Source organism: Homo sapiens, chromosome 3 (assembly GCF_000001405.40).
Source record: "Homo sapiens chromosome 3, GRCh38.p14 Primary Assembly".
NCBI classification, from domain to species: Eukaryota; Metazoa; Chordata; class Mammalia; order Primates; family Hominidae; genus Homo; species Homo sapiens.
The window spans coordinates 197,852,662-197,878,202 of record NC_000003.12 but is presented as its reverse complement, the minus strand read 5'-3'; the positions used below and the strand labels follow the sequence as shown (position 1 = coordinate 197,878,202).

The 25,541-nt window shown below is 41.1% G+C and overlaps 1 protein-coding gene across 18 annotated transcripts in view, besides 5 other annotated features; it reads right to left on the bottom strand.

Annotated features, from left to right (window-relative positions):
* LRCH3 (leucine rich repeats and calponin homology domain containing 3) overlaps positions 1–25,541 on the bottom strand; it is a 97,211-nt gene that overhangs the window by 10,234 nt on the left and 61,436 nt on the right. For 2 of the 18 annotated variants that reach the window (NM_001363887.1, NM_001365715.1), the window contains exons 14-20: positions 23,758–23,811; positions 19,298–19,369; positions 12,732–12,780; positions 11,984–12,091; positions 7,925–8,043; positions 6,741–6,878; positions 2,428–2,505 (exon numbers count right to left, since the gene is read on the bottom strand). In NM_001363887.1, the coding sequence (NP_001350816.1) occupies positions 2,428–2,505; positions 6,741–6,878; positions 7,925–8,043; positions 11,984–12,091; positions 12,732–12,780; positions 19,298–19,369; positions 23,758–23,811 (618 nt within the window). The other 16 variants (NM_001365716.1, NM_001365718.1, XM_005269367.4 and 13 more) reach the window with 13 other exon arrangements.
* Positions 10,513–11,048: an enhancer, noted in NCBI's record as "H3K27ac-H3K4me1 hESC enhancer chr3:197594026-197594561 (GRCh37/hg19 assembly coordinates)". NCBI's record gives its function as "activates a minimal SCP1, AML or CMV promoter by ChIP-STARR-seq in primed H9 embryonic stem cells {active_cell/tissue: H9 hESC(primed)}" and the evidence as "EXISTENCE:reporter gene assay evidence [ECO:0000049][PMID:30033119]".
* Positions 22,322–23,521: an enhancer, noted in NCBI's record as "MED14-independent group 3 enhancer chr3:197581553-197582752 (GRCh37/hg19 assembly coordinates)". NCBI's record gives its function as "activates an origin of replication core promoter dependent on BRD2, BRD4, P300/CBP and CDK7 cofactors, and independent of MED14, by STARR-seq in HCT116 cells {active_cell/tissue: HCT116}" and the evidence as "EXISTENCE:reporter gene assay evidence [ECO:0000049][PMID:35650434]".
* Positions 22,322–23,667: a biological region, named in NCBI's record as "MED14-independent group 3 enhancer GRCh37_chr3:197581553-197582752".
* Positions 22,356–23,011: an enhancer, noted in NCBI's record as "OCT4-NANOG-H3K27ac hESC enhancer chr3:197582063-197582718 (GRCh37/hg19 assembly coordinates)". NCBI's record gives its function as "activates a minimal SCP1, AML or CMV promoter by ChIP-STARR-seq in primed H9 embryonic stem cells {active_cell/tissue: H9 hESC(primed)}" and the evidence as "EXISTENCE:reporter gene assay evidence [ECO:0000049][PMID:30033119]".
* Positions 23,012–23,667: an enhancer, noted in NCBI's record as "OCT4-NANOG-H3K27ac-H3K4me1 hESC enhancer chr3:197581407-197582062 (GRCh37/hg19 assembly coordinates)". NCBI's record gives its function as "activates a minimal SCP1, AML or CMV promoter by ChIP-STARR-seq in primed H9 embryonic stem cells {active_cell/tissue: H9 hESC(primed)}" and the evidence as "EXISTENCE:reporter gene assay evidence [ECO:0000049][PMID:30033119]".

Sequence of the window (25,541 nt, the reverse complement as noted above, 5' to 3'; positions counted from 1 at the left end):
ATCTGGTAAGTCAACATGACTTGCTTGAGTGGGGCCATTTTCAGCACTCTCCTGTCTATTTTGCATTTCCCATTCTCTGCACCAACCCATGCCATACTCTCTTTGTTTAAAGACACTGTGGCAGGGAACTAGAGCAGACACTGGATGTTTGTGTAGCAAGAACCTCTTTAGGAAGCAGAAGGGAAGAACTGGAGGCTAATGTGCACTATTAGAATAAACTTGTTTAAAAGAATGTATGTTATTTCTTCAGAAACCATATTCAGTGCTCTCAAAATATTTAAAAAGGTCTGTTCTAAAAGATGACCCTTTATAAAACAACATAATATAAAAACGAAAATTTTGCTTTCAATTTGTCCATAGGAATCAAAAAGGTGTTTGCTAACTACCACTTTATGTAAATTTCCATTCTTGTATAATTCAGTTAAAAAAAAAACAGCAAAAGAAAAAAGTAAAAAATAAATAATAGAATGATGATCTACTTTCATAAGAGAAAAACAATCCTGGGAATCCTGCTGGCTGACACAGATGATCTGTGGAGCTGGGCGCTCTCTCTTTCACTTTGTAACATGTGATGCTGTGGCCTAGTCAACTCCTGGCTAGTTAGAAAGAGGTGCGGTGAACTGGGTAAAGAGAATCACTGTCATGGGTGCGGTGAGTTGGGTAAAGAGAATCACTGCCATGGGTGCGGTGAGTTGGGTAAAGAGAATCACTGCCATGGGTGCGGTGAGTTGGGTAAAGAGAATCACTGCCATGGGTGCGGTGAGTTGGGTAAAGAGAATCACTGCCATGGGTGCGGTGAACTGGGTAAAGAGAATCACTGCCATGGGTGCGGTGAGTTGGGTAAAGAGAATCACTGCCATGGGTGCGGTGAGTTGGGTAAAGAGAATCACTGCCATGGGTGCGGTGAACTGGGTAAAGAGAATCACTGCCATGGGTGCGGTGAGTTGGGTAAAGAGAATCACTGCCATGGGTGCGGTGAGTTGGGTAAAGAGAATCACTGCCATGGGTGCGGTGAACTGGGTAAAGAGAATCACTGCCATGGGTGCGGTGAGTTGGGTAAAGAGAATCACTGCCATGGGTGCGGTGAGTTGGGTAAAGAGAATCACTGCCATGGGTGCGGTGAGTTGGGTAAAGAGAATCACTGCCATGGGTGCGGTGAGTTGGGTAAAGAGAATCACTGCCATGGGTGCGGTGAGTTGGGTAAAGAGAATCACTGCCATGGGTGCGGTGAGTTGGGTAAAGAGAATCACTGCCATGGGTGCGGTGAGTTGGGTAAAGAGAATCACTGCCATGGGTGCGGTGAGTTGGGTAAAGAGAATCACTGTCATGGGTGCGGTGAGTTGGGTAAAGAGAATCACTGCCATGGGTGCGGTGAGTTGGGTAAAGAGAATCACTGTCATGGAAGCTACAGGAACAGGAACCAAACTCTGAGAGCAATGGTGGAGCTGTTGATGAGCCCCAGGGCCACCCCTGAGTTACTGATACCTAATTAGAAGGTGATAGAGAAGAATCATGTTTTCCTCCTTGCAGGCTATAGACAAAATATGTTAACAAGACTTGTAATGGTCGTGGTTAATGAAAAAGTATCACATGGCACCAAGTCATTTATTTCTTTAAATTTGTCTTTATACCACATAATATTCCTTAATAGTATAATACTTAGTTGGTTTAATATAATTGCTTTTTAAAGGGGTTATTGGATAAGACTGTATCAAGTTCATTTCCCTTAATCGCATCTATAAATAAATTTAACTATTTGTAATATTAAAGGGCAATAAAGTTATAACTGAGCTGGAGGCAATAAATCCTCATAGCAGGACAACAGCTTAGAAATGGCCTGTTGCATGCCAGACTCCAAAGAACCAGAGCTTCATGGAAAAACTGATGAAATCCAAATAAAGCCTGTAATTCAGTTAATCGTATTGTTCTCATGTTACTTAGTTTGAATTACTGTCCTATGTTTGTATTAGACGTTAGTTAACATTAGAAGAAATTGACTGAAGTATACAAAAGGAACTCTAGGCTATTTTTTCAACATTTCTGGAAGTCTAAAACATTTTAAAAAGTATCAAAGCAAGTGTTAGAACACTGAAGCCAACTGCAGCATTCTCAATCTGAGATATACTTAGTTTTTGAAGGATATATTTAGTTGTCAAATAGCAAGTGGGAAAGTTTAGGAAAATAGAATAATTATTTCAAATTACTTATACTTATTTCAATCTATATATTTATAATTTCTTTGTGTGGTCCTTGGAAATAATCAAGGAAAACTGTTCAAAAGTACACTGACTCTTGTAACACAAAGTCATGTTAATTATGATCGACTTAGCTCAGAGCTAGTCCTGTAAGATTTTAGAGATTTACATTTCTAAAATTTTAGGACAACCAAGTCTATTTAGGCAACATAAAAAATGATAAATTTATTACCTGAGGTACACCAATTTTTCTGCAAGCTTCTAGGAAATTTTCCACATTTCGCCTGCATTTCGCCATTGTTAATTTAGGCTGAAATGAGGAAAAGAAAATGTGTTACTAGAGAAGTTTTGTTTCTGGGACAGGGTCTCACTGCCACCCAGGCTGGAGTGCAGTGGCGCAAGCCTGGCTCGCTGTATCATTGACCTCCCAGGCTCAGGTGATCCTCCCACCTCAGCCTCCCAAGTAGCTGGGACTATAGTTGCATGCCATCACACCTGGGCAATTTTTGTAGAGACAGGGTTCGCCACGTTGCCCAGGCTGGTCTTGAATTCCTGAGTTCAAGCAATCTGCCTGCCTCAGCCTCCCAAAGTGCTGGGATCAGAGGCATCAGCTAAATGCCCAGCCTACTAGCAACATTAAAAAATATTTGCTAACTTTAGAAATACTCCTGGCAATCGCTTCATAACTCTCAATGCTGTAGACTAGGGGGTCAGCGAACTTTTTTTTAAAGGATCAGATAATAAATGTTAGTTCTGAGGGCCATAAGAACTGTTGCAATGCCAGGTGCGGTGGCTCACGCCATAATCCCAGCACTTTGGGAGGCTGAGGTGGGCGGATCACCTCAGGTCGGGAGTTCGAGACCAGCCTGACGAACATGGAGAAACCCCGTCTCTACTAATAATACAAAAATTAGCCAGGTGTGGTGGCGGGCACCTGTAATCCCAGCTACTCGGGAGGCTGAGGCACGAGAATCACTTGAACCCGGGAACCCGGGAGGCAGAGGTTGTGGGGAGCTGAGATCGCACCATTGCACTCCTGCCTGGGCAACAAGAACAAAGCTCCATTTCAAAAAAAAAAAAAGAACTGTTGCAACCACTCGAGTCTGCCAGGAGCTTGAAAGCAACTATAGACAATATGCAAACAAGAAAGTGTGACTGGGTTCCAGTGAAACTTGATTTACAAGAAGAAGTGCTGGCCTGTGGGCAGTACTTTGTCACCCCACACTTGAGACATTGGCTTTGATTTTGGAAGGCAAGTACTAAATAGAAAAACTTTGAACGAATAGTTACAAACTTTTTTTTTCCATTTTAAAACAGTGTAACACTAAGGCAGCAGTCCTCAACCTTTTTGGCACCAGGGACTGGTTTCACAGAAGACAATTTTTCCATGGACAGGGCTGGAGCTGGGGGGGATGGTTTCAGGCTGATTCAGGCACATTACATTTATTGTGTATTTTATTTCTATTATTACATTGTAATATATAATGAAATAATCATACATAATGAAATCTACCGTAATGTAGAGTCAGTGGGAGCCCTGAGCTTGTTTACCTGCAACTAGACAGTCCCATCTGGGGATGATGGGAGACACTGACAGATCATCAGGCATTAGATTCTCATAAGGAGCCCGTGGCCTAGATCCCTTCCTCGCATGCGCAGTTCACACCAGCGTTCATGCTCCTCTGAGGATCTAATACTGTTGCTGATCTGACAGGAGGCAGAGCTCGGGTGGTGATGTGAGTAATGGGGAGTGGCTGTAAATACAGATGAAGCTTTGCTCACTGGCCTGTTCACCTCCTGCTGTGCAGCCCAGTTCCTAACAGGCCACAGACTGGTACCCATTTGTGGCCCAGGGGTTGGGGACCCCTGCACTAAAGAAAACTTGGAGGAACAGCCAAAAAAATTAATTACCCATAGTTCATCATTTAAATGTAACTACAACACTTGATTCATTTCCTTTCAGTCTTTTTTTTTTTTTTTTTTCTTTTGAGACAGAGTCTCACTCTGTCGCCAGGCTGGAGTGTGGTGGTGCTATCTTGGCTCACTGCAACCTCCGTCTCTTGGACTCAAGTGATTCTCCTGCTTCTGCCTCCCAAGTAGCTGGGACTACAGGTGTGCACCACCATGCACAGCTAATTTTTGTATTTTTAGTAGAGATGGGGTTTCATCATGTTGGCCAGGATGGTCTCGAACTCCTGACCTCGTGATCTGCCCACCTGGGCCTCCCAAAGTGCTGGGATTACAGGCAAGAGCCACTGTGCCTGGCCCTTTCTTTCTTTTTTAGGGTCAGGGTCTCGCTCTGTTGCCCAGGTTGTTGTGCAGTGGCATGATCGTGGCTCACTGCAGCCTCAAACTCCTGGGCCCAAGTGATCCTCCCGCCACAGCTTCCTGAGTAGCAGGTGCACGCCTAATTTTTTTAAGTATTTTTGTAGAGATGGGATCTCACTATATTGCCCAGGCTGGTCTTAAACTCCCAGCCACAGGTGATCCTCCTGCTTGTCTCCTTCTCAGCTTCAGCTTGATCCCACAGGGAGCTCACAAGTGTGAACCACACGACACTCCCTCCTTGAGGTAGGAGGGCTCAGCCCCATGCTTGTCCGTCACTGGCTATGGGCTTAAGGGAAGAGCAAGGTGGCCTAGGACAGGTCCCTGAAACACACTGGGGGAAAAGTATATTACATCTGTAAGTTTTGGATGGTGTAGTTAAAATACACATACAAATATAGATACATAAAGCAAGTGCGGCAAAATGCAAGAAACGTCAGATCTAGGTGCAGACTTTAATAGTGTTCGTTGTAGGATTCTTTCCACTTTTCTGAAGGTTGAAATTTTTCATGATAAAAATGTGAGGAAAACAGAGGAGGGGTGTGTCAACCCAAAGCCTGTTCTTTTGTGGACTGCCATCCTGAAACTGATGCCCAGACCTGACCAGCAGTGCAAAGAGAACCTGCCAGTTATCCTGAATGCATTTTCTCCCTCATCTTCCACCTGAGGTCGGTCACAGATCATGTCAGTTTTACCTTTGAACCATCTTCCCTCTCACTGCCCAGTTAGTCCAGGCTTTAGTCCCGGCTTGTTATCTTCCTGGCCTGGACTAATACAACAGCCTTTTAATTGGGCATCTTTCTTTTCTTTTCCCTTTTTTTCTTTTGAGACAGAGTCTCGCTCTGTCTTGCCCAGGCTGGAGTGCAGTGGTGCGATCTCAGCTCACTGCAAGCTCCGCCTCCTGGGTTCAAGTGATTCTCCTGGCTCAGCCTCCCAAGTAGCTGGGATTACAGATGTATGAACCACTCCTGGCTAATTTTGTATTTTTAGTAGAGTTGGGGTTTCACCATGTTGGCCAGGCTGGTCTCGAACTCCTGACCTCAGGTGATCCACCAGCCTCGGGCTCCCAAAACGCTGGGATTATAGGCGTAAGCCAGTGCACCCAGTCTCTTTTCCTTTTTCTTTTAAGAAACAAGATCACCCAAGCTGGTCTCAAACTCCTGGGCTCATAGGATCCTCATGCCTCAGGCTCCCAAGTAGCTGGGACTACAGGCACAAGCCACTGAGCCTGGCTTGGGCATCTTTGTAGTGTACCACCTTTAATTTTTCCATTTCTCACTTAGCACCTAGATTCATCATTCCTTTTTTTTTTTTTTTTTTTTCTTTGAGACAGGGTCTTGCTCTCTCACCTAGGCTGGAGTGCACTGGCACAATCACGGCTCACTGCAGCCTCGAACTCCTGGGCTCAAGTGATCCTCCCACATCAGCCTCCTGAGTAGCTGGGACTATAGGCACATGCCACCATACCCAGCTGATTTTTGTATTTTTGGTAGAGACGGGGTTTTGCCATATTGTCCTGGCTGGTCTCAAACTCCTGGGCTCAAGCAATCGTCTGCCTCGGCCTCCCAAATTGCAAAGATTATAAGCATGAGCCACCGCGCCCAGCCTAGATTCGTCATTCTAAACTGCAGTTAGAATCATGGTATTCCCTCTTTAATTCAGTGTATCCTCATTGTCTGTACTAGGGTAAACGTCCTTCACACGGTTCATAAGGCCTTTGTACCACGGCCCCAGCTCACGTCTCTAGCCTTACCCCTTACCATTTGTATTACAACCCTGTGCACGATCCATTCTGAACAATTTACCAATTCCTTAAGTAAAAGCCAAACTTTCCTTAGCTTCTGAATCTAGAAATCCTATGCCTGGAAGGCCCCCTCCCCTCTCTGTACTGCTGGAAAATTCCTTCTTAAACTTCAAGAATTAGTTCAAATTTTGCCCGTTCTGGGAAGGCTTCCCTGAACTCTCCAGGTGGAGTTAAGTGGCCCCTTTTTATATCCCTATAACACACACTGTACATGCCTTTCTTACATTTATCGCACTGCTGTAAGTAGCTGTATACATGTCTATTTCTTCTCGAGTAGAAGTGAGACCAGGAAGGTAGAGACTGGACTCTTTATATCTGTATCCTTAATATCTAGCACAATGCTTAAGAAATGTCTGTCCACTGTGCTTAACAAATGTCTGATGAATAGCCAAGGCTTTTTAGGATTATCAACTTACTACAGCTGGTGAGGGAACATGAATGCTTGGGACAGATCGAGGTCGCACATGATTGGCCAAATGGCAAAGAACAACACCGTCAGTTAGAGCTGCTCCGAGATCACAAGGTAGAGACACTTTCAACCGGTACTCAATATGCTGAAAGAACAAAAAACATGTAATAGATTAATTGAAGAAAGACTGACATATAGGACATAAGGGAGTTATAATGAAATCTAATTAAAAATCAAGATAAAAAGGAAATAAGTACCACAATATCCATTTTATCCCTCTATCCTAAGTTTAACTTAAGGAGATCTAATATATATGGACGGCAGCCAGGGCATAGTGGTACAAAGTACAACAAAAATTCATTTACAACTTTCTGATTAAAAAAAAAAACCTAGATTCTCCTTCAATTCCAACATAAAATAAAGAGGCAATCACTCACTATATATGTGTAAGTGTGATATTTATATATGTGTGCACACACATATAAATTATTACTGACAATATTTCTTTATAACAGGAAGTAGAAAAAAGGAAAAAATTTAAATGAGTAGAGCTAGGAATTGAGCTTTATAGAATAAGCCATCTATCTCATTTTCTAAGTAAATAGCTGAAAAGAATTTCCTTAATAGCAAAATGTTTACATTCATCACAAAACATGGCACACAATGGGCACTCATTTAATCTGTTAAAAATTACAGCCGGGCGCGGAAGCTCACGCCTGCCATCCCAGCACTAATCTGTTAAAAATTACAGCCGGGCGCGGAAGCTCACGCCTGCAATCCCAGCACTAATCTGTTAAAAATTACAGCCGGGCGCGGAAGCTCACGCCTGCCATCCCAGCACTGTGGGAGGTCGAGGCCAGTGGATCACCTGAGGTCAGGAGTTCGAGACCAGCCCGGCCAACATGGTGAAACTCCTTCTCTACTAAAAATACAAAAACTAGCTGGGTGCAGTGATGGGCGCCTGTAATCCCAGCGACTCAGGAGGCTGAGGCAGAAGAATTGCTTGAACCCACGAGGCATAGGCTGCAGTGAGCCAGGATCATGCCACTGAACTCCAGCCTGGGTGACAGAGTGAGACTCCGTCTAAAAAAAAAATAAATAAAAATGATGTGTCAAATGAAGACGTGATCACAGGATTATGATCTATAGCAGTAATACTGAAAAAGTGTAAATCAAAGGTAATGTACATACTTTACGCAGTTGGTCTATTAATTCCAGCTCTTCTTCTCTCTGTCTTGAATTCTGTCCTGTTATGGAATCTGTAGAATCAGTGGTAGGTGCAGCAGATGGAGGAAGGGGTGAAGCATGACCTATAAAAATATTAATATGTAAGACAGAAAGGCAACTGGCAGTGCTAGGAGAACATCCGGCTCTGCCTCATCACAGTTTCCCTGCAAGTGCAGTGCATGGCTTTCTACCTCCTGCAGGTACAGTGCATCGCTTTCTACCTCCTGCAGGTACAGTGCATGGCTTTCTACCTCCTGCGGGTACAGTGCATCGCTTTCTACCTCCTGCGGGTACAGTGCATCGCTTTCTACCTCCTGCAGGTACAGTGCATGGCTTTCTACCTCCTGCAGGTACACTGCATGGCTTTCTACCTCCTGCAGGTACAGTGTATCGCTTTCTACCTCCTGCAGGTACAGTGCATCGCTTTCTACCTCCTGCAGGTACAGTGCATCGCTTTCTACCTCCTGCAGGTACAGTGCATCGCTTTCTACCTCCTGCAGGTACAGTGCATCGCTTTCTACCTCCTGCAGGTACAGTGCATCGCTTTCTACCTCCTGCAGGTACACTGCATGGCTTTCTACCTCCTGCAGGTACACTGCATGGCTTTCTACCTCCTGCAGGTACAGTGTATCGCTTTCTACTTCCTGCAGGTACAGTGCATCGCTTTCTACCTCCTGCAGGTACAGTGCATCGCTTTCTACCTCCTGCAGGTACAGTGCACGGCTTTCTACCTCCTGCAGGTACAGTGCACCGCTTTCTACTTCCTGCAGGTACAGTGCACCGCTTTCTACCTCCTGCAGGTACAGTGCACGGCTTTCTACCTCCTGCAGGTACAGTGCACCGCTTTCTACTTCCTGCAGGTACAGTGCACCGCTTTCTACTTCCTGCAGGTACAGTGCACCGCTTTCTACTTCCTGCAGGTACAGTGCATGGCTTTCTACCTCCTGCAGGTACAGTGCATCGCTTTCTACCTCCTGCAGGTACAGTGTATCGCTTTCTACTTCCTGCAGGTACAGTGCATCGCTTTCTACTTCCTGCAGGTACAGTGCATCGCTTTCTACTTCCTGCAAGTACAGTATATTGGTTTCTACTTCCTGCAAGTACAGTATATTGCTTTCCACTTTCTGGATTGACTTTTTAAAAGGGTTTTTATTATGGAGATTTTCAAATATACACAACAGAGAATAGTATAGAAAAATATGTAATGTTCATTACCCAGTTGACTCAACTACTTTTGTTTGATTACATCCACTTAAAAATGTTTTTATTGAAAATTAATACACAGAAAAATACACAAATCGTAAGCACAGTGCTCAAAAAATTCTCCTCACCAAGTGAACACAATCAGGTTTTTAATGCAATCTTACCAATCCCAGGAGCCCCTTCCATGCTCCTTGCCCATAAGTACCCAACGTGCTCAAAACCGCACCCTGACTTCTAACACTGTAGGCTGGTCTGGTTCATTTTTGAACTTTGTATAAATTATGCTGTATTGTATGTATTCTTTTGCTTCTGGCTTCCTTTGATCAATGGTAAGTTTATGAGATTTATCCATGTTGCTGTATATAGGAATTGGTTCATTTTCATTGCTTATATGGTATTCCATTGTACAAATATACCACAATTCATTTATCCATTCTCTTGATGGACATTCAGTTTCAGGCTATTATGAATAATGCTGCTATGAATATTTTTGTACACGTTGTTGGTACACGTGTGTACATATTTCTCAAAAGTAAAACTGCTGGTCATAGGGTACACAGTCATCCGTCAGTATCCAGGGGAAATTAGTTCCAGAAACCACCTCTCTCATACCAAACTTTGTGGACGCTCAAGTCACTCATATAAAATGTAGTATTATTTGCATACAAACTATGCATATCCTCCTTTATACTATACTTTAAATCATCTCTGTTACTTACAATACTTAATACAATGTAAATGCTATATAAATTGTTACTATACTGTATTTCAAAATTAGTATTATTTCTTTATTGTGGCATTGTTTATTATCGTTGTCTTGTTTCTGAAGATTTTTCTGTCCATGACTGGTTGAATCCATAAATACAGAATCTGTGGGTACAGAGGCTGACTGATAACAGTCTTCCATGCTTTCTTACACTCTCACCAGCAGTGCATCTGTAGTTTGACTTTTAAATCTTACTGTGAATGCATCTGTTGGTAACATTGAAGGTAAGTTGTGTTTTTTTTGTTTTTTTGAGACAGGGTTTCACTTTGTTACCCAAGCTGGAGTGCAATCGCGCAATCTTGACTCACTTCAGCCTCAACCTCCTGGGCTCAATCCATCCTCCCGCCTCAGCCCCACAAGTAGCTGTGACTACAGGCCTGCACCACCATGCCTTTTTTTGTTTGTTTGTTTTTGTTTTTGAAACGGAGTCTCGCTCTGTCACCCAGGCTGGAGTGCGGTGGTGCGATCTCGGCTCACTGCAAGCTCTGCCTCCCGGGTTCACACCATTCTCCTGCCTCAGCCTCCCGAGTAGCTGGGACTACAGGCACCTGCCACCATGCCTGGCTAATTTTTTTTGTATTTTTAGTAGAGATGGGGTTTCACCGTGTTAGCCAGGATGGTCTCGATCTCCTGACCTCGTGATCTGCCCGCCTCAGCCTCCCAAAGTGCTGGGATTACAAGTGTGAGCCACCGCACCCAGCCAATTTTTTGTATTTTTTTAAGAGATGGGGTTTTGCCATGTTGCACAGGATGGTCTCGAACTCCTGAGCTCAAGTGATCCCATCTACCTCGGCCTCCCAAAGTGCGAGGATTACAGGCACGTGCCACCACGCCTGGCCTATTTTTTAATTTTTTTTGAGACATAAGTTTCACACTGTCATCCATGCTGGAGTGCAGTGGCGCAATCTCAGCTCACTACAGCCTCCACCTCCTGGGTTCAAGCGACTCTGCCTCAGCCTCCCGAGTAGCTGGGATTACAGGCGCCTGCCACCATGCCTGGCCAGTTTGTTACTCTACCGCCCAGACTGGAGTATAGTGGCGCCATCTTGGCTCACTGCAACTTCTGCCTCCCAAGTTCAAGCAATTCTCCTGCCTCAGCCTCCTGAGTAGCAGGAATTACAGGCGCCTGCTGCCACACCCGGCTAATTTTTGTATTTTTTCAGTAGAGACGGGGTTTCGCCATGTTGGCCAGGCTGGTCATGAACTCCTCAAATGACGTGATCTGCTCGCCTTGGCCTCCCAAAGTGCTGGGATTACAAGTGTGAGCCACCGTGCCCAGCCATTTTTTGTATTTTTAATAGAGACAGGGTTTCACCACGTTAGCCAGGCTGATCTCAAACTCCCGACCTCAAGTGATCTGCCTGCCTTGGCCTCCCAAAGCACTGGGATCACAGGCGTGAGCCACCACGCCTGACCTTATTTTTGTTTGTTTGTTTGTTTGTTTGTTTTAAGAGACAGAGTCTTGCTCTGTTGGCCAAGCTGGAGAACAGTGGTGCTTTTAATTATAACTCATTGTAACCCTGAAGTCCTGGGCTCAAGCAATCCTCCCCGCCAGCTTCCCAAGTAGCTGGGACCACAGGCACACACCACCATGATAAAAGTTGTTATTTTTGACTTGAAATGTTTGTTTCCACTCCCAGGTAACTTCTTTGGGGACCAGGGAGAAATTTGTCATTATTAACTAAAAGAACATGAGACTTAAAGTAGATTTTAAAACAATTATTGTTTTAAGAAAACAGCTTTTATCAATAGAAAAATGTGAAAAAGAGTTCATTACCAAGACAAAGAACATTCTCTAAAGCCTCGAAAGCGCATTTTATTTGTTCAAACACTCTATAACCTGCTTTTAGGTGGCACTAAGAAACTTTCTCATCCAAACAAATTCAGATAAGATTTTCCTGCTTTAGTATCAGTGAGATCACAGACACATGCTTTTGCCGAGCTGATAGCTTTGTCTTATACTATATGCAGAAGTTTAAAAGCATCCATCTAACAGCTAGCGTCGTTGTGTAAACCTCCCCTCGCTCCTGGCTTTTAAAATCACCACCACCTACCTTTGTTGGTTTCTGCCCTGACACCTGCTCGGAAAAGGAAGCTTTCAGGGCGCTGAGGCTGATTTCTCTGGATAGCAGCAGGAAAAGAATATGCAGGGGAATGATGAACTAAATTAGCATGAAAAATAAAATGAGATTAAAGGAGATGAAAATATAATAGCAGACATACAAGTTACAAAAGTAACAAGTAAAAAATAAACATGGCAATGATATAAAATAATTCTATTTAATGATGAAAAGTCTGGTACAGAAAATAATCATGAAACCAGGAGGACCGCTTGTATGTATTTTACATTGTCATGTTATTTTTGGTGTTATCAATAAAGGCAGAATGAATGTTATCATATTGAACAGTCTCCCGCAGACCTACGGCTGTTGTTCACTTATTCATATCAAATGGCTGACTAGCTGAGCAACCAATTTAATTTAAAAATGGGAAAAAAAAAAAAAAACCCAGTGGTTTCCAATTCTGTATCTGATTTCTATCTCAGAAAAAGCAGCCACAGCTCTCTAACAAGTAATTTAGGAAAATCTTGGTAAAAAATTATAATCTTAGCCGGGTGCTGTGGCTTACATCTGTAATCCCACCACTTTGGGAGAACAAGGCAGGAGGATCCCTTGAGCCCAGGAGTTTGAGACCACCCTGGTCAACACAGAAAGGCCTCGTCTCTATTTATTATTATTTTTTAAATAAAAAAATAAAGAATTATAATCTTGATGTGGTTAATTGCACCTTTGTGTCTATTACCTGTTTCTGTTGCAGGTGAACTTAATAGAGCATTAGGTCTGTCATCACTCTGTGGAGAAACAGACATATATCAATAATTGTTATTCAAGAAGAAATACTTTCTACTTTTATGGTAATTTTGAAATTATAAAAGACAAAAAACAGGTAACTCTCCTTCACGATTAAGTCTAGAGGTGAGAATTTGGGTCAGGTGCAGTGGCTCATGCCTGTAATCCCAGTACTTTGGGAGGCTGAGGTGCGAGGATTACTTGAGAGCAGGAGTTGAGACCAGCCTAGGCAACATAGTGAGACCCTGTCTCTACAAAACGTCTAAAAAATTGGTCAGGCATTGTGGTGTGCTCCTGTAGAGGCTGAGGAGGGAGGGTTGCTTGAGCCTAGGAATTAAAGACTGCAGTGAGTAATGATTGTGCCACTGCACTCCAGCCTGGGTGACAGAGGGAGACTCTCTCTCTCCCTCTCTCTCTCTTTTTTTGAGACAAGGTCTCACTCTTGTTGCCCAGGCTAGATTGCAATGCCATGATCTCCCAGGCTCAGGTGATCCTTCTACCTCAGCCTCCCAAGTAGTTGAGACTACAGGGACACATCACCATGCCCAGTTAATTTTTGCATTTTTTGTAGAGACAGTGTCTTGCCATGTTAGCCAGGTTAGTCTCAACCTCCTGAGCTCAAGCGATGCACCCGCCTCAGCCTCCCAAAGTGCTGGATTATAGGCATGAGTTACCGTGCCTGGCCTGACCCCCTTTGGAAAAAAAAAAAAAAAAAGAAGAAGAAGAAAAAGAAATGAGGATTTGGTGAAATGAATTAATTCTGTATTTTTAAAAGCCAAGTTTTTGTTTTTTTGTTTTTTGTTTTTTTTTTTTTGAGATGGAGTTTAGCTCTTATTGCCCAGGCTGGAGTGCAATGGCACGATCTCAGCTCACCACAACCTCCGCCTCCCGGGTTCAAGCAATTCTCCTGCCTCAGCCTCCCAAGTAGCTGGGATTACAGGCATGCACCACCATACCCAGCTAATTTTTTTGTATTTTTAGTAGATACGGGGTTTCTCCATGTTAGTCAGGCCGTTCTCGAACTCCCAACCTCAGGTGATTCGCCTGCCTCGGCCTCCCAAAGTGCTGGGATTACAGGCATGAGCCACCACGCCCAGCTGTTTTTATTTTTTATTTTTGAGATGGAGTCTCGCTCTTGTTGCCCAGGCTAGAGTGCAATAGAGCACTCTCAGCTCACCACAACCTCTGCCTTTCGGGTTCAAGTGATTCTCCTGCCTCAGCCTCCCGAGTAGCTGGGATTATAGGCATGTGCCACCACACCTGGCTAATTTTGTATTTTTAGTAGAGACAGGGTTTCTCCATGTTGGTCAGGCTGGTCTCAAACTCCCGACCCTCAGGTGATCCACCTGCCTCGACCTCCCAAAGTGCTGGGATTATAGGCATGAGCCACCACGCCCGGCCTAGTTGTGTTTATATAAAGACAGTCCATTATTTAACAAGCTCTTCCTAAGACTATGAAAAATGATCATCCTAAGACAGAAAATGTTACTGGGAAATATATGAGAAAGAAAAAGCAACATTTTATTTTCTAATAGTATTTCTCCATAATAGTTTCTAAAGTACTTTTTTCTCTGGAGAATAAAATTTAATATTTTTAAAAAGTAATATAGGTTTCCTAATTTCGGTTAGGAGAGAAGATGTTTAAGAGATGATAGATATATTTTCTACACTAGTATTTGAGTCCAAGACATTTTCAATTCATTGACCAAAAGAACTGTAAAAAGGAGGAAGAACTAGCCAAACAGTTACAAAGCTTACCTAAAGAAAGGGAAATGTAGTTAAGCTAATTTACAAAGAAATGTAGGTTGACTAGGTTAAAGCTGCTGAAGACTTGGCAGGGGAGTACAGTTAAGAAAAGCTAGAATAGGCCGAGCGCGATGGGCCACATCTGTAATCCCAACACTTTGGGAGGCTGAGGTGGGTGGATCACGTGGTCAAGAGATTGAGACCATCCTGGCCAACATGGTGAAACCCCGTCTCTACTAAAAATACAAAAATTAGGTGGGCATGGTGGTGGCGCCTGTAGTCCCAGCTACTTGGGAGGCTGAGGCAGGAGAATCGCTTGAACATGGAGGCGGAGGTTGCAGTGAGCCGAGATGGCGCCACTGCATTCCAGCCTGGGCAACAGAGTGAGACTCCATCTCAAAATAAATAAATAAATAAAAGAAAAGCTAGAATAACATTAATAGTTTTTTAGGCCTTGACATCTAATTGCCTTGAAATATAATCTAAATATATTATAACTTTATGATACGACTAAGGCACATTTCTGGACATAATGACTCTAAAATTAACACAAACATACAAATCTGCTCCCATACTTTCCCTACCATTGGTTTCAATATTTTCAGAACTCTTACATCGCTACTTACAGTTGGGTCAGATAAATGAGGACAAATAATTTTAACTGCTAAAAATAAATAAATAAATAATAAATAAATAAACCAAGGCCATATGTTGAGAAAATTCTCAAGACTCACTTGGAGACAATTTTCTGGTAACAATTCCTTAGTTTGATATCACAGGTGGAGAACTAAGATTTAAACAGTGAGCTGAGCTCGTAAGGCAGTGTGTTCACATCTTAAGTGGAAAAGACACGTTCATCGGGTTTATAGATGCAAGTAAACTAAGTTCTGGGTGTTGAGAAAAAATGGAAATTTAAATAAGAAATTTAATTCAAACAAGAGTAACAGAAACTGGTAAAAGGAATGAACAGGTAAATGAGGCAAAAGCCAGATATCTTTACAAGGAAGTAAAAGACTATGTTTATTTTCCAGGGTTGTGAATAAGTAGAAAATTGGTTAAACAAAGACATGTTCAAGGACCAATAATACAAAAAGAGAAACATTCAAGGTAGAGATTATTCTAGACAATGGAGGAAAAAATATTTTCAAAAATTTAAAAAACACTTATTAACAGGACATAGACTAGAAATTTAAAAAACACTTATTAACAGGACATAGACTAGAAATTTAAAAAACACTTCCTATTAACAGGACATAGACTAGAAATTTAAAAGTATTAAGGAATAAAAGGAGAAAGTTAACAGGCAACTTTATGAGATGAGAAGAGCTGAAACAACAATGAAGGGCAGCGAATGTTCTCTCCTTCGGTTTGAAACAGCAACAGGCCGGGCGCAGTAGGCTCACGCCTGTAATCCCAGCACTTCGGGAGGCAGAGGTGGGCAGATTGCCTGAGGTCAGGAGTTTGAAACCAGCCTGGCCAACACGGTAAAATCCCATCTCTACTAAAAATACAAAAATTAGCTGGGCGTGGTGGCATGCGCCTGTAATCGCAGCTACTCGGGAGGCTGAGGCAGGAGAATCACTTGAAACTGGGAGGCAGAGGTTTGTAGTGAGCTGAGATCTCACCACTGCACTCCAGCCTGAGCGACAGAGCAAGAGTCCGTCTCAAAGGAAAACAAAAAAGAAAGAAACAGCAACAGATAATATACTACTGGGCGTGATGAAAACAAAGCCAGAGGAGAGGAGACGTGTAAAAATGGTTTCTGAAATGTATTTTTATTAAAGCTATAAATCTAAGTGACTTGCATTCTAGGATACTAAAAATCATTAGCTTAAATCACTGTGAGGCCATTAACTACATTTGGGAACTCTTGGAAAACTGGAGAGCAAAAAAAAGGTTAAGAAATAATCTCTCACTAGAGAATTGAGGCAATGGAAAGAAAAAAAAACCCAGAACTGATATAAACTCAACTTTTAAGCCTAGCTAAGCAATAAAAGAAATAAATTCATAAGTATAATGTATAATTGCTGTGAAAGTAATAGAGATACTAAAAAAATAAAGAATAAATCTTTTAAAATAATAATTTGACAGTACAGCAGGTCGGATAGAAAAAAAAGACTTATCTATCTTAAATCTAGTGAAGTTTTATTTTTAATCTCATATGACAGTCACTGTAGAACAAGACACTGTGGTCTGTCTGGACCACACAACTTTTGGCACAGTCAAAACAACTCTCAGTTATGACTCTGAATAAGCCACAATGCCCGAAGGTGTTCATGGAGTACAACAAATTAACTTCTCTCCCATACATCTAGAATGGTGCCAGTTATGGACCTTCCTTGAGATCATTTTGAAAAAAAGTTGCTGAAATAATTTTCTGTGTTGTTCCAGTAAGGATCCCAGTTGAGAACGGCTAGCAAAGGGTTCACATGGAAGAGAATTATGAAGTTTTTTCAGGAGGCATCCAGGTATGTAGGGCATGCTCAACAATAACCAGAGGAGGTTTCTCAGATTTACAGTTGTTATAAAGTTGAGGTTATTAGCCGGGCTTGGTGGTGGGCACCTGTAATCCCAGCTACTCGGAAGCCTGAGGCATGAGAATCGCTTTAAACCCAGGAGGCAGAGGTTGCAGTGAGCCGAGATTGTGCCATTGCACTCTAACCTGGGCAACAAGAGCAAAACTCCGTCTCAAAAAAAAAAAAAAAAAGTTGGGGTCAGCATTTAAAAAAGCACAATGCAGACAGACTAAACTGAGGGTTACCGGAGGCTGGGAAGGGTAGTGGGAGGGTGGGGGAAGGAAATGGGGACAGTTAATGGGTCCAAAAAAAATAAAAAGAATAAGATCCAGCATTTGATAGTACAAAATGGTCATCACAGTCAATAATTTAATTGTACATTTAAAAATAACTAAAGGAGTATAACTGGATTGTTTGTAACACAAAGGATAAATGCTTGAGGTGATGGATAGCCCATTTACCTGATATAATTATTATGCACTGTATACCTATATCAAAATACCTCATGAACCCCATATACACACTTACTATGTACCCACAAAAATTAAAAAGTAAAAAAAAAAAGGACATGATACAAGAATTCGGTTTTAATGTTTTTAGAGACACAGTCTTGCACTGTCCCAGGCTGGGGTACAGTGGTGTGATCACAGCTCACTGCAGTCTTGAGTTCCTGGCCTCAATTGTATTCCCCCTCGGGCTACCAACACTGGGATTACAGGTGTGAGCCAGTGTACCTGGCTCAATGCAACAATTTGAAAGTATTCTGGTACATGAGACAAGTAAAAATATTCAAACAGCAAAATTAAATATTCAAGAAAAAATAAAGAATACAACACGTGGAAAGTAACTGTCATTTAGAAGTTGAAGGAGGTTGGGCGCAGTGGCTGACACCTAGCACTTTGGGAGGCCGAGGCAGGATGATCTCTTGAGCCCAGGAGTTTGAGACCCGCCTGGGCAATACAGTGAGACCTTGTTTCTACAAAAACTTAAAAAGTCAGCCAGGCATGGTGGTGCGCATCTGTATTCCCAGCTACTCAGGAGGCTAGGGAGGGAGGATCCAGCCTGGGAGACAGAGCAGGACCCTGTCTCAACACATAGAAGAGGTATAACTAAAATATTTGAGAATTCCAGTGGATACTGAGCAAAATGAAGACCAAAAATTTAAAAATCACCCTAAATGAGCAAGCTCTAACGAGGGATGTATTTCTAGTTTGGACCATGAAGCCAGAATGGAGGGCACAGAACTTGTGAAAATTCATTAAAGATGAACAGTCTGGGAAAGGCATGTAAAAGAATCTGAGTTTATTTAGGAAGAAGCTAAGGATGGCATCGTAATTGTTTTTAAATTCTTACATTAAAAAAATATTGTATTTTGTGTAAAAAAAAAAAGGATTCTTACATTAAAAAATGCTAAATAACTAGAAAATCTCCACTCTGGAAAGAAAAGAAGTATAAACCACAGCAGGACAGTTGTAAGTTAGACAAAGGTCTTCTTGACAGTGAGAATTATTGATCATTTTGTACATATCCAGTGATAACAAATATGGAATTACCACTCCTAGAGGCCTTCAAAAAATAAAATACTACAGGTTCTTAATTTTTAGAGTTTAGATTAAATTTTTCCAGAAGGTGGAATGTATCATCTCTTATGACATTATTGCTGATAAAAAGCAGGGGTTTGCGATTTTTTTTCTTATAGGGCCAGACTGTACATATTTTAGGCTTGTAGGTATATGATGTTGGTCACAATTATTCCACCTCAGCTGTTTACTGTGCAAGCAGCCATAGGCAATGCATAAACAAAAGGGACTGGCTATGTAAAAATAAAGCTTTACTTATAAACAGGTGGCCTAGGGGCCATAGTTGGTTGACCCCTACTGTAGAAGGTTTTGGTAGTGATAGTTTTTTTGGACTCAAATTATTTTGCATGCACATTAGACAACAGAGTTAATTCAATATTATATACTAACCAAAGTGAAATAATAACTCACAAGAAAAACACCTTTGATAAAAAAATCAGAATGACACATCAAACAATCTGAATACGAAGAATTAATGTGAGCTCTATGACTATCTCTAGCATCATAAAACTTTCAAAAAATTTCAAGGGAAATCAATGTTAAACAAATAGTTCCATAAACAGGTATATTTATGCGATCCTATATTTCAGATTGTTAGATCAATTCACCAAAAAATTCAAGACCTTATATCCACCTCCTCCCCAAACTTCCTGGTGAATTACAATAACAAGAGATACCTTAAGAGGCGTGAAGGCAGAAGAATGAGGCAGGGTAGCAGCACAGCCCACTTGATTCAACCCTGACAGCGACTACATTTCAAATGAGAAAGAGAAGAAACAGAAGGCAGCATTTATGTTAGCAAATGTCAGGCAGGCAGATCTGACTAGTGAAATGAGAAAAGGAAAGGTCACTGACGATCTTTCAAATGGTTTACTAAGCTACTGACAGGGCAGGAAGAGAATATTTGGGGGACAAAAACCCATGGACACAGTTTTTCCACTTGTATAATTCAGGATAGTCTCAATACCTCATGCCACATTAATCAAGAAATGAGAGGCATGATTTCTGAAAAATGATTTTATGCAGAAATAAAACAGAACATCAACATTGTTAGCATAGTAGCCTTGAAACTAGTGAGTCCTGTTCCTACGATGAGGGGTTTTAACCAAGCAGAACTGGCATCAATAAAAACAATATCTTTTCAACATTAATCCAAATTATATATATTATAATTAGGACATGAGGATTCTGCATCAACCTAAAGGAGGAACCGGCATTTCATCTCTGCCTCTGTGAAACTCCTAATGACTATAAGAGGGGAAGGTGGAATTTCCCTTTTCTTCGAATCCTTTATCTTTCACCAACCAACATAACAACTGGTTAGCTGTATTAGAGATAGATTGTATCTATATAATTATTGTCAATTAAAAAGACAAAAATTTAAAGTATTACATAGAATTTTGATTACAGGTAAGAGGTGCTCAAAACATGACAATTTTTCTCATTTGCCACATGGAGAGTGGAAATCAGAGAAGACAATACTTTCACAAAGAGCCCTGGATAAGGTTTTACCTATTAAAACAACAAAATGCCAAGAGCTTAAAAATAGTGAAGTCTTTATAAGTAATTTTTAAAAATTTAAACTAGGACCATAAATTTCTAAACTATGAGATAAATGAACAAGAAAACAAACAGGTGTTTAGGAAAAGGTATGTATATGGTCAATGAAATAAATACAACTGTATTTTTAATGAGAATTAACATATTTTTATTTAACAAAAGCAGCATGTAACACACAATGTATTATATGTATCACAAAATCTATCTTAAGGCAGCAAATAATGAAGATAAAAATATACCAAAGAGCAAAACTGTGACAATGGTAATACACTGTGTATACTTCTGGGGTTTAGATTTCCTGGGCCTGCTTTTTAATCAAAGGTACTGGAACTACTGCCAATGTCAAATATAAAAAGGAAAACTAGGAGTGGAGGAAGAAGAGGTAAAATGAGCCTCATATTCTTTTAAAATGAGACCTGATATAGACGAAAGCAACAGGAGTTTGAGGGGTAGCCCGAAGAGAATGTCAGTGTAACTGATACTAGCAGGAGCTTGAGGGGTAGCCTGAAGAGAATCTCAGTGTAACTGATACTAGCAGGAGCTTGAGGGGCAGAACGAAGACAATGTCAGTGTAAACTGATATTAACAGGAGCTTGAGGGGTAGCCGGAAGAGAATGTCAGTGTGACTGATATTAACAGGAGCTTGAGGGGTAGCCCGAAGACAATGTCAGTGTAAACTGATATTAACAGGAGCTTGAGGGGTAGCCCGAAGACAATGTCAGTGTAAACTGATATTAACAGGAGCTTGAGGGGTAGCCGGAAGAGAATGTCAGTGTAACTGATATTAACAGGGGCTTGAGGGGTAGCCCGAAGACAATGTCAGTGTAAACTGATATTAACAGGAGCTTGAGAGGTAGCCCGAAGACAATGTCAGTGTAAACTGATGTTAACAGGAGCTTGAGGGGTAGCCCAAAGATAATGTCAGTGTAACTGATATTAACAGGAGCTTGAGGGGTAGCCCGAAGAGAATGTCAGTGTAAACTGATATTAATAGAAGCTTGAGGGGCAGCCCGAAGACAATGTCAGTGTAAACTGATATTAGCTGTTATAAATCTTCATTTCAAATCGTAAGTTTCAAGGTCTTTAAATCAAATTCAGCATTTACCTTATGATATCGTTCATCAGACCTTTTCATCACAAAACAATTTAATAATCAGTAGATGCACAGAATTTATATGTTCATTCAGGAAATATTTACTGAGCACCTAATATATCCCAGGAACTGTGGTAGGGATGGAGTGTATTAAGGTACATTAAGACAAAATAGAATATCCTTGTGTTCATGAAGCTTATAGTCTAGTAGTCCAACAGAAAAGAGATAATAAAAGAATAAACAAGCTGGGCACGGTGGCTCATGCCTGTAATCTCAGCACTTTGGGAGGCTGGGGCAGGAGGATTGCTTGAGCCCTGGAGTTAGAGACCAGCCTGGGCAACACAGTGAGACCCTGACTCTACAAAAAAATAAAAAAATTAGCCACGTGTGGTGCATGCACCCGTAGTCCCAGCTACTCAAGAGGCTGATGCTTCAAGGAACCATGTTCATGCCACTGCACTCCAGCCTCGGCAACAGAGGGAGACTCTGTCTCAAAATAATTAAATAAATAAATAAAAATAAAGAATAAAATTAAATTTAAAAATACAAAATAAAATAATAAACACCCAAATAAAACTACCATGATAAAAAAATTACCGTGACAACAGTAATACACTATGTATACTTCCCGGGCCTCCTTTTCATCAAACGCACTGGAGCTCCTGTCAGTTTATTTAACTGTCAAACTGTGGGCTGATTTAAGGGTGGTGGGCTGCCGAAAAGTCATGTTAAAGATGGAACATTTAAACAAATACCTGATAGGTGAGTAGGAATTAATCAAGGGGTACATGCAGGGAGGGAAAGGCATTCTATGTAAAAGAAACAGCATTTGCAAAGGTCTGAGATGGGAAAGGGCTTATGATATTTGAAGAGCTGGAAACAATGCTGGTATGGCACAAGCCCAGAGAGGAGACTGGAGAGGGAGGCAGTAGAGCACGAGGGAGCTTCGAGGCCACGTTCGGACTTCACTCTAAGCAACGGGAGCCTTCTGAAGCACAGTTTTGATAATATGAGGTTTTATTTAAAATACGACTCTTTTTGCACAGTGTTGGTTGGACACTATTTGGCAGACAAAGAAATGTGAGATGTGTTTTAAAGGCCGTCTAATTTGGAGGATCAGATATGAATACTGAGAACTAAGACTTAAGTGAGTGTGTTTTGACAAACGGCCGAAGGGAATTTCAAGTTACGCACTAAGGGGATTTTGCTGTTGTTGTTTTTCTAAATTCCACTGTTTTGTTGACAAAAAAGTCTTGGCACTCAGACTTATACCACTTATTCCATGTGTTATTAAACCTTCGGTTTCCTAAACGGTTTTCAGTTTCAGTATGGTGTTTAATGCAGGTTCTCCCATCAGCCAGACAGATGTGGATTCCCAGCCTTGCACTTACTGTCTATGCGACATTGGACAAGTCACATTCTGGGCCTCAGTAATCATTTGTAAAAAGGTGATAAGTTTAACCTTCACTCTTAAGGTTGCTGCGAGGAGTAAATGAGATAATTTTGGTAAGTGTTTGGATCGTCGGAGGCTCTCAATATTTGTCTACATTTTTAACTTATTATTCGCTTCTTAGGCCAATTCACTTAAACTAAAACTCTAGAGTGTGATGATTGTATTCACCTATAAGACCGCCCAGTTAAAAGGTGCTTTATCCATCTCAAAGGAAATGAAGGTTGTGGAATACACAGCAATGCGAACAGACCACGGAAGCTGATGTAACAGGAATGTCATGCTGAGGCATGCAGCTCACGCAGCAGGATGCACCCTGGCAGCAGTTACTAGCACTGTAGGCACTAGACCTCTGAACGTACTACTATGAAAACAATCACATAAAACATGATGGGGAAAGAAATTCTAGAAATGGTTAGAATTCTTTCGCAAGGCTAATAAGATGTTAAATAAACCTTCCATCTTATACTCATTTTGAGCTGATGAAACAGGCAATAAAAGTAAGCCAGTGTTCAACACGATCAGCAGTTAATGTTTCCTTGGGTTTAAAAAGTGAACATGAAGGAATAATCTTGAGCTGTAAGTATTTAAAACCAAAGTGAAGGATTTTCAGTAGCTGAAAATACATCATAAAATTGGATGCCAAATATACAGCTGTGCAATCAGTGTCATGAGTCACCTTAACATATAGGTGACCCATGAGCCAAATTAATGATTAATAAAGTAAGTGCTCCTGGAATTAGACACATTTAAAACATGAATATTATGTTATGCCTCCATTCCCAGCACACACAAAGCCAATATGGTTCTCAAGGCAAATGTTTTCCTTTCGGTGGCACTGACAAAGATATGAGCTGCAGAACTTTGAAACACTGGGTCAATCACAAATGGTCATGTGGGAAAATGGTTTAGTTCTTCATAAAGCATTTAGTAATGATGTTCATCATGTTTTATGGTATTTAGATAGTTTCTGAATAAAAAGTACAATCTCTAAACACAGAAATGCGAAACTCCGTTTTGTGCAAAACTCTTACCATGCACAAGGCACTATCATCAGTGTGCTGAGACCTTCTGGATGGGAAGGGGCACTGGAGAGATGGAGAAAAATGAAGCCATGTCAGAAACAAACTACGCACACGTGTGACGTATTTCACGAATACACACACAAGGGAAGAGACATATTAAGACATACTTTTGAAGACGTTGACATAGAGGACCACATTCACAATCATCTGGAATTCATGCATTATAATAGTCAGTAAGTTGGTTCTGAGTACTGATCTTCTCCCAGAGTTTAAACAACTTCAAATACGATCTTATTGCCTAAAACCTTACAAAGCAAGGAGGGAACAGAAAGCTGGAGAGAGATGTAACAATAACATAAAGAACCTATGGTCATTTAGTGAGCCAGTAACAAACAAGAAGCCCAGAGTCATAATTTCTAGTCTAAGTATCTCTTCATTTTCTTTCTTAAGCAAAATGAAAAGTACAATTACAATTTTTAGAACTGTTTATGTTATTTTCCTGTGGAGCTTTAGTTTTCTTGAGAATGAATTACTTGAAAACAATCATCAAGAAGGAAATATTGGGGTAAAAAAGAAAACACACATTAAATTTATCAAACTTTGGTTGTCGAAAATGTGTTAGTATTATTACCAGGTGAAGAAAAGACAAGTGAACATGCTGGAGCCAATCTTTGAGGTATTATACAAATATATAATGTTCTAACATAAAAAAACAGAAGTAGTTCTATGTCTGATAAAACTTTTTAAAAACCTTTCTAATGGACAATTGAAAACATTTCAAACAATACACTTTTCCATACCAGAAACTCCTGTGCTTTAAAAACACTGAAAATTGTTGCTTGTAAAGCCCCACGTGTTAGGTTTTCAAATAACTTATTTTATGAAAAGCAAAGTCAAAATTCACATGAAACAACGCTTTTATGCATTTTTCAAGGAGGTAATGATCATAAATTAAAACAAACTGGGTCAGGCGCAGTGGAATTAAGTGCCTGTAATTCCAGCAGTTTGGGAGGCCGAGGCAGGTGGATTATGAGGTCAGGAGTTCGAGACCAGCCTGACCAACACAGTGAAACCCCGTCTCTACTGAAAATACAAAAATTAGCCAGGCGTGGTGGTGCACACCTGTAGTCCCAGCTACTCGGGAGGCTGAGGCAGAAGAATCAGTTGGACCCGGGAGTCGGAGGTTGCAGCGAGCCAGTATCGCGCCACTGCACTCCAGCCTGGGTGACAAAGTGAGACTCTGTCTCAAAAAAAAAGAAAAAGAAAAAGAAAAAACTGGTAGGTTTTTAAAGGGAAAATGGTTAATGAGAAAGCCAACTACAAGAAAAACATTTAGTAAGCTTCATTTTAACAGATCAAAAGAGGTGTGTAGATTTTTAAAAGGTTAAGTGATTTATTTTCTGTTAATCTGTAAGAAAAATGTACTATTTGATATTATAAAATAAGTGTTATCATTGATAGCACTGAATCTGAAATCCTATGTAAGAGTCTTTTTTTGTTTAGTAGCCACTCCATTTACCTGTACCAGGTAAAGCTCCCAGGACTCTACACACAACGCTTCAAAAGTGGAGGAGACGGGGACGGTGCCTCTGGTGGGGGTCAGGGAGGGAAATATCATCTCTAGATGGATGTGTATAGCTGAAAAAAGCCTTGATCTATAGATTCTAGTAAACTCCTTGGCTTGTATCATCTCCCTCATAAGGAGAATATTGTGAGGTGGAAAAAGAAAAATGGCAATATTCCGAGCACTGAAAACATGACAATTACATGTAAACATTTCATTTCCATTGCAA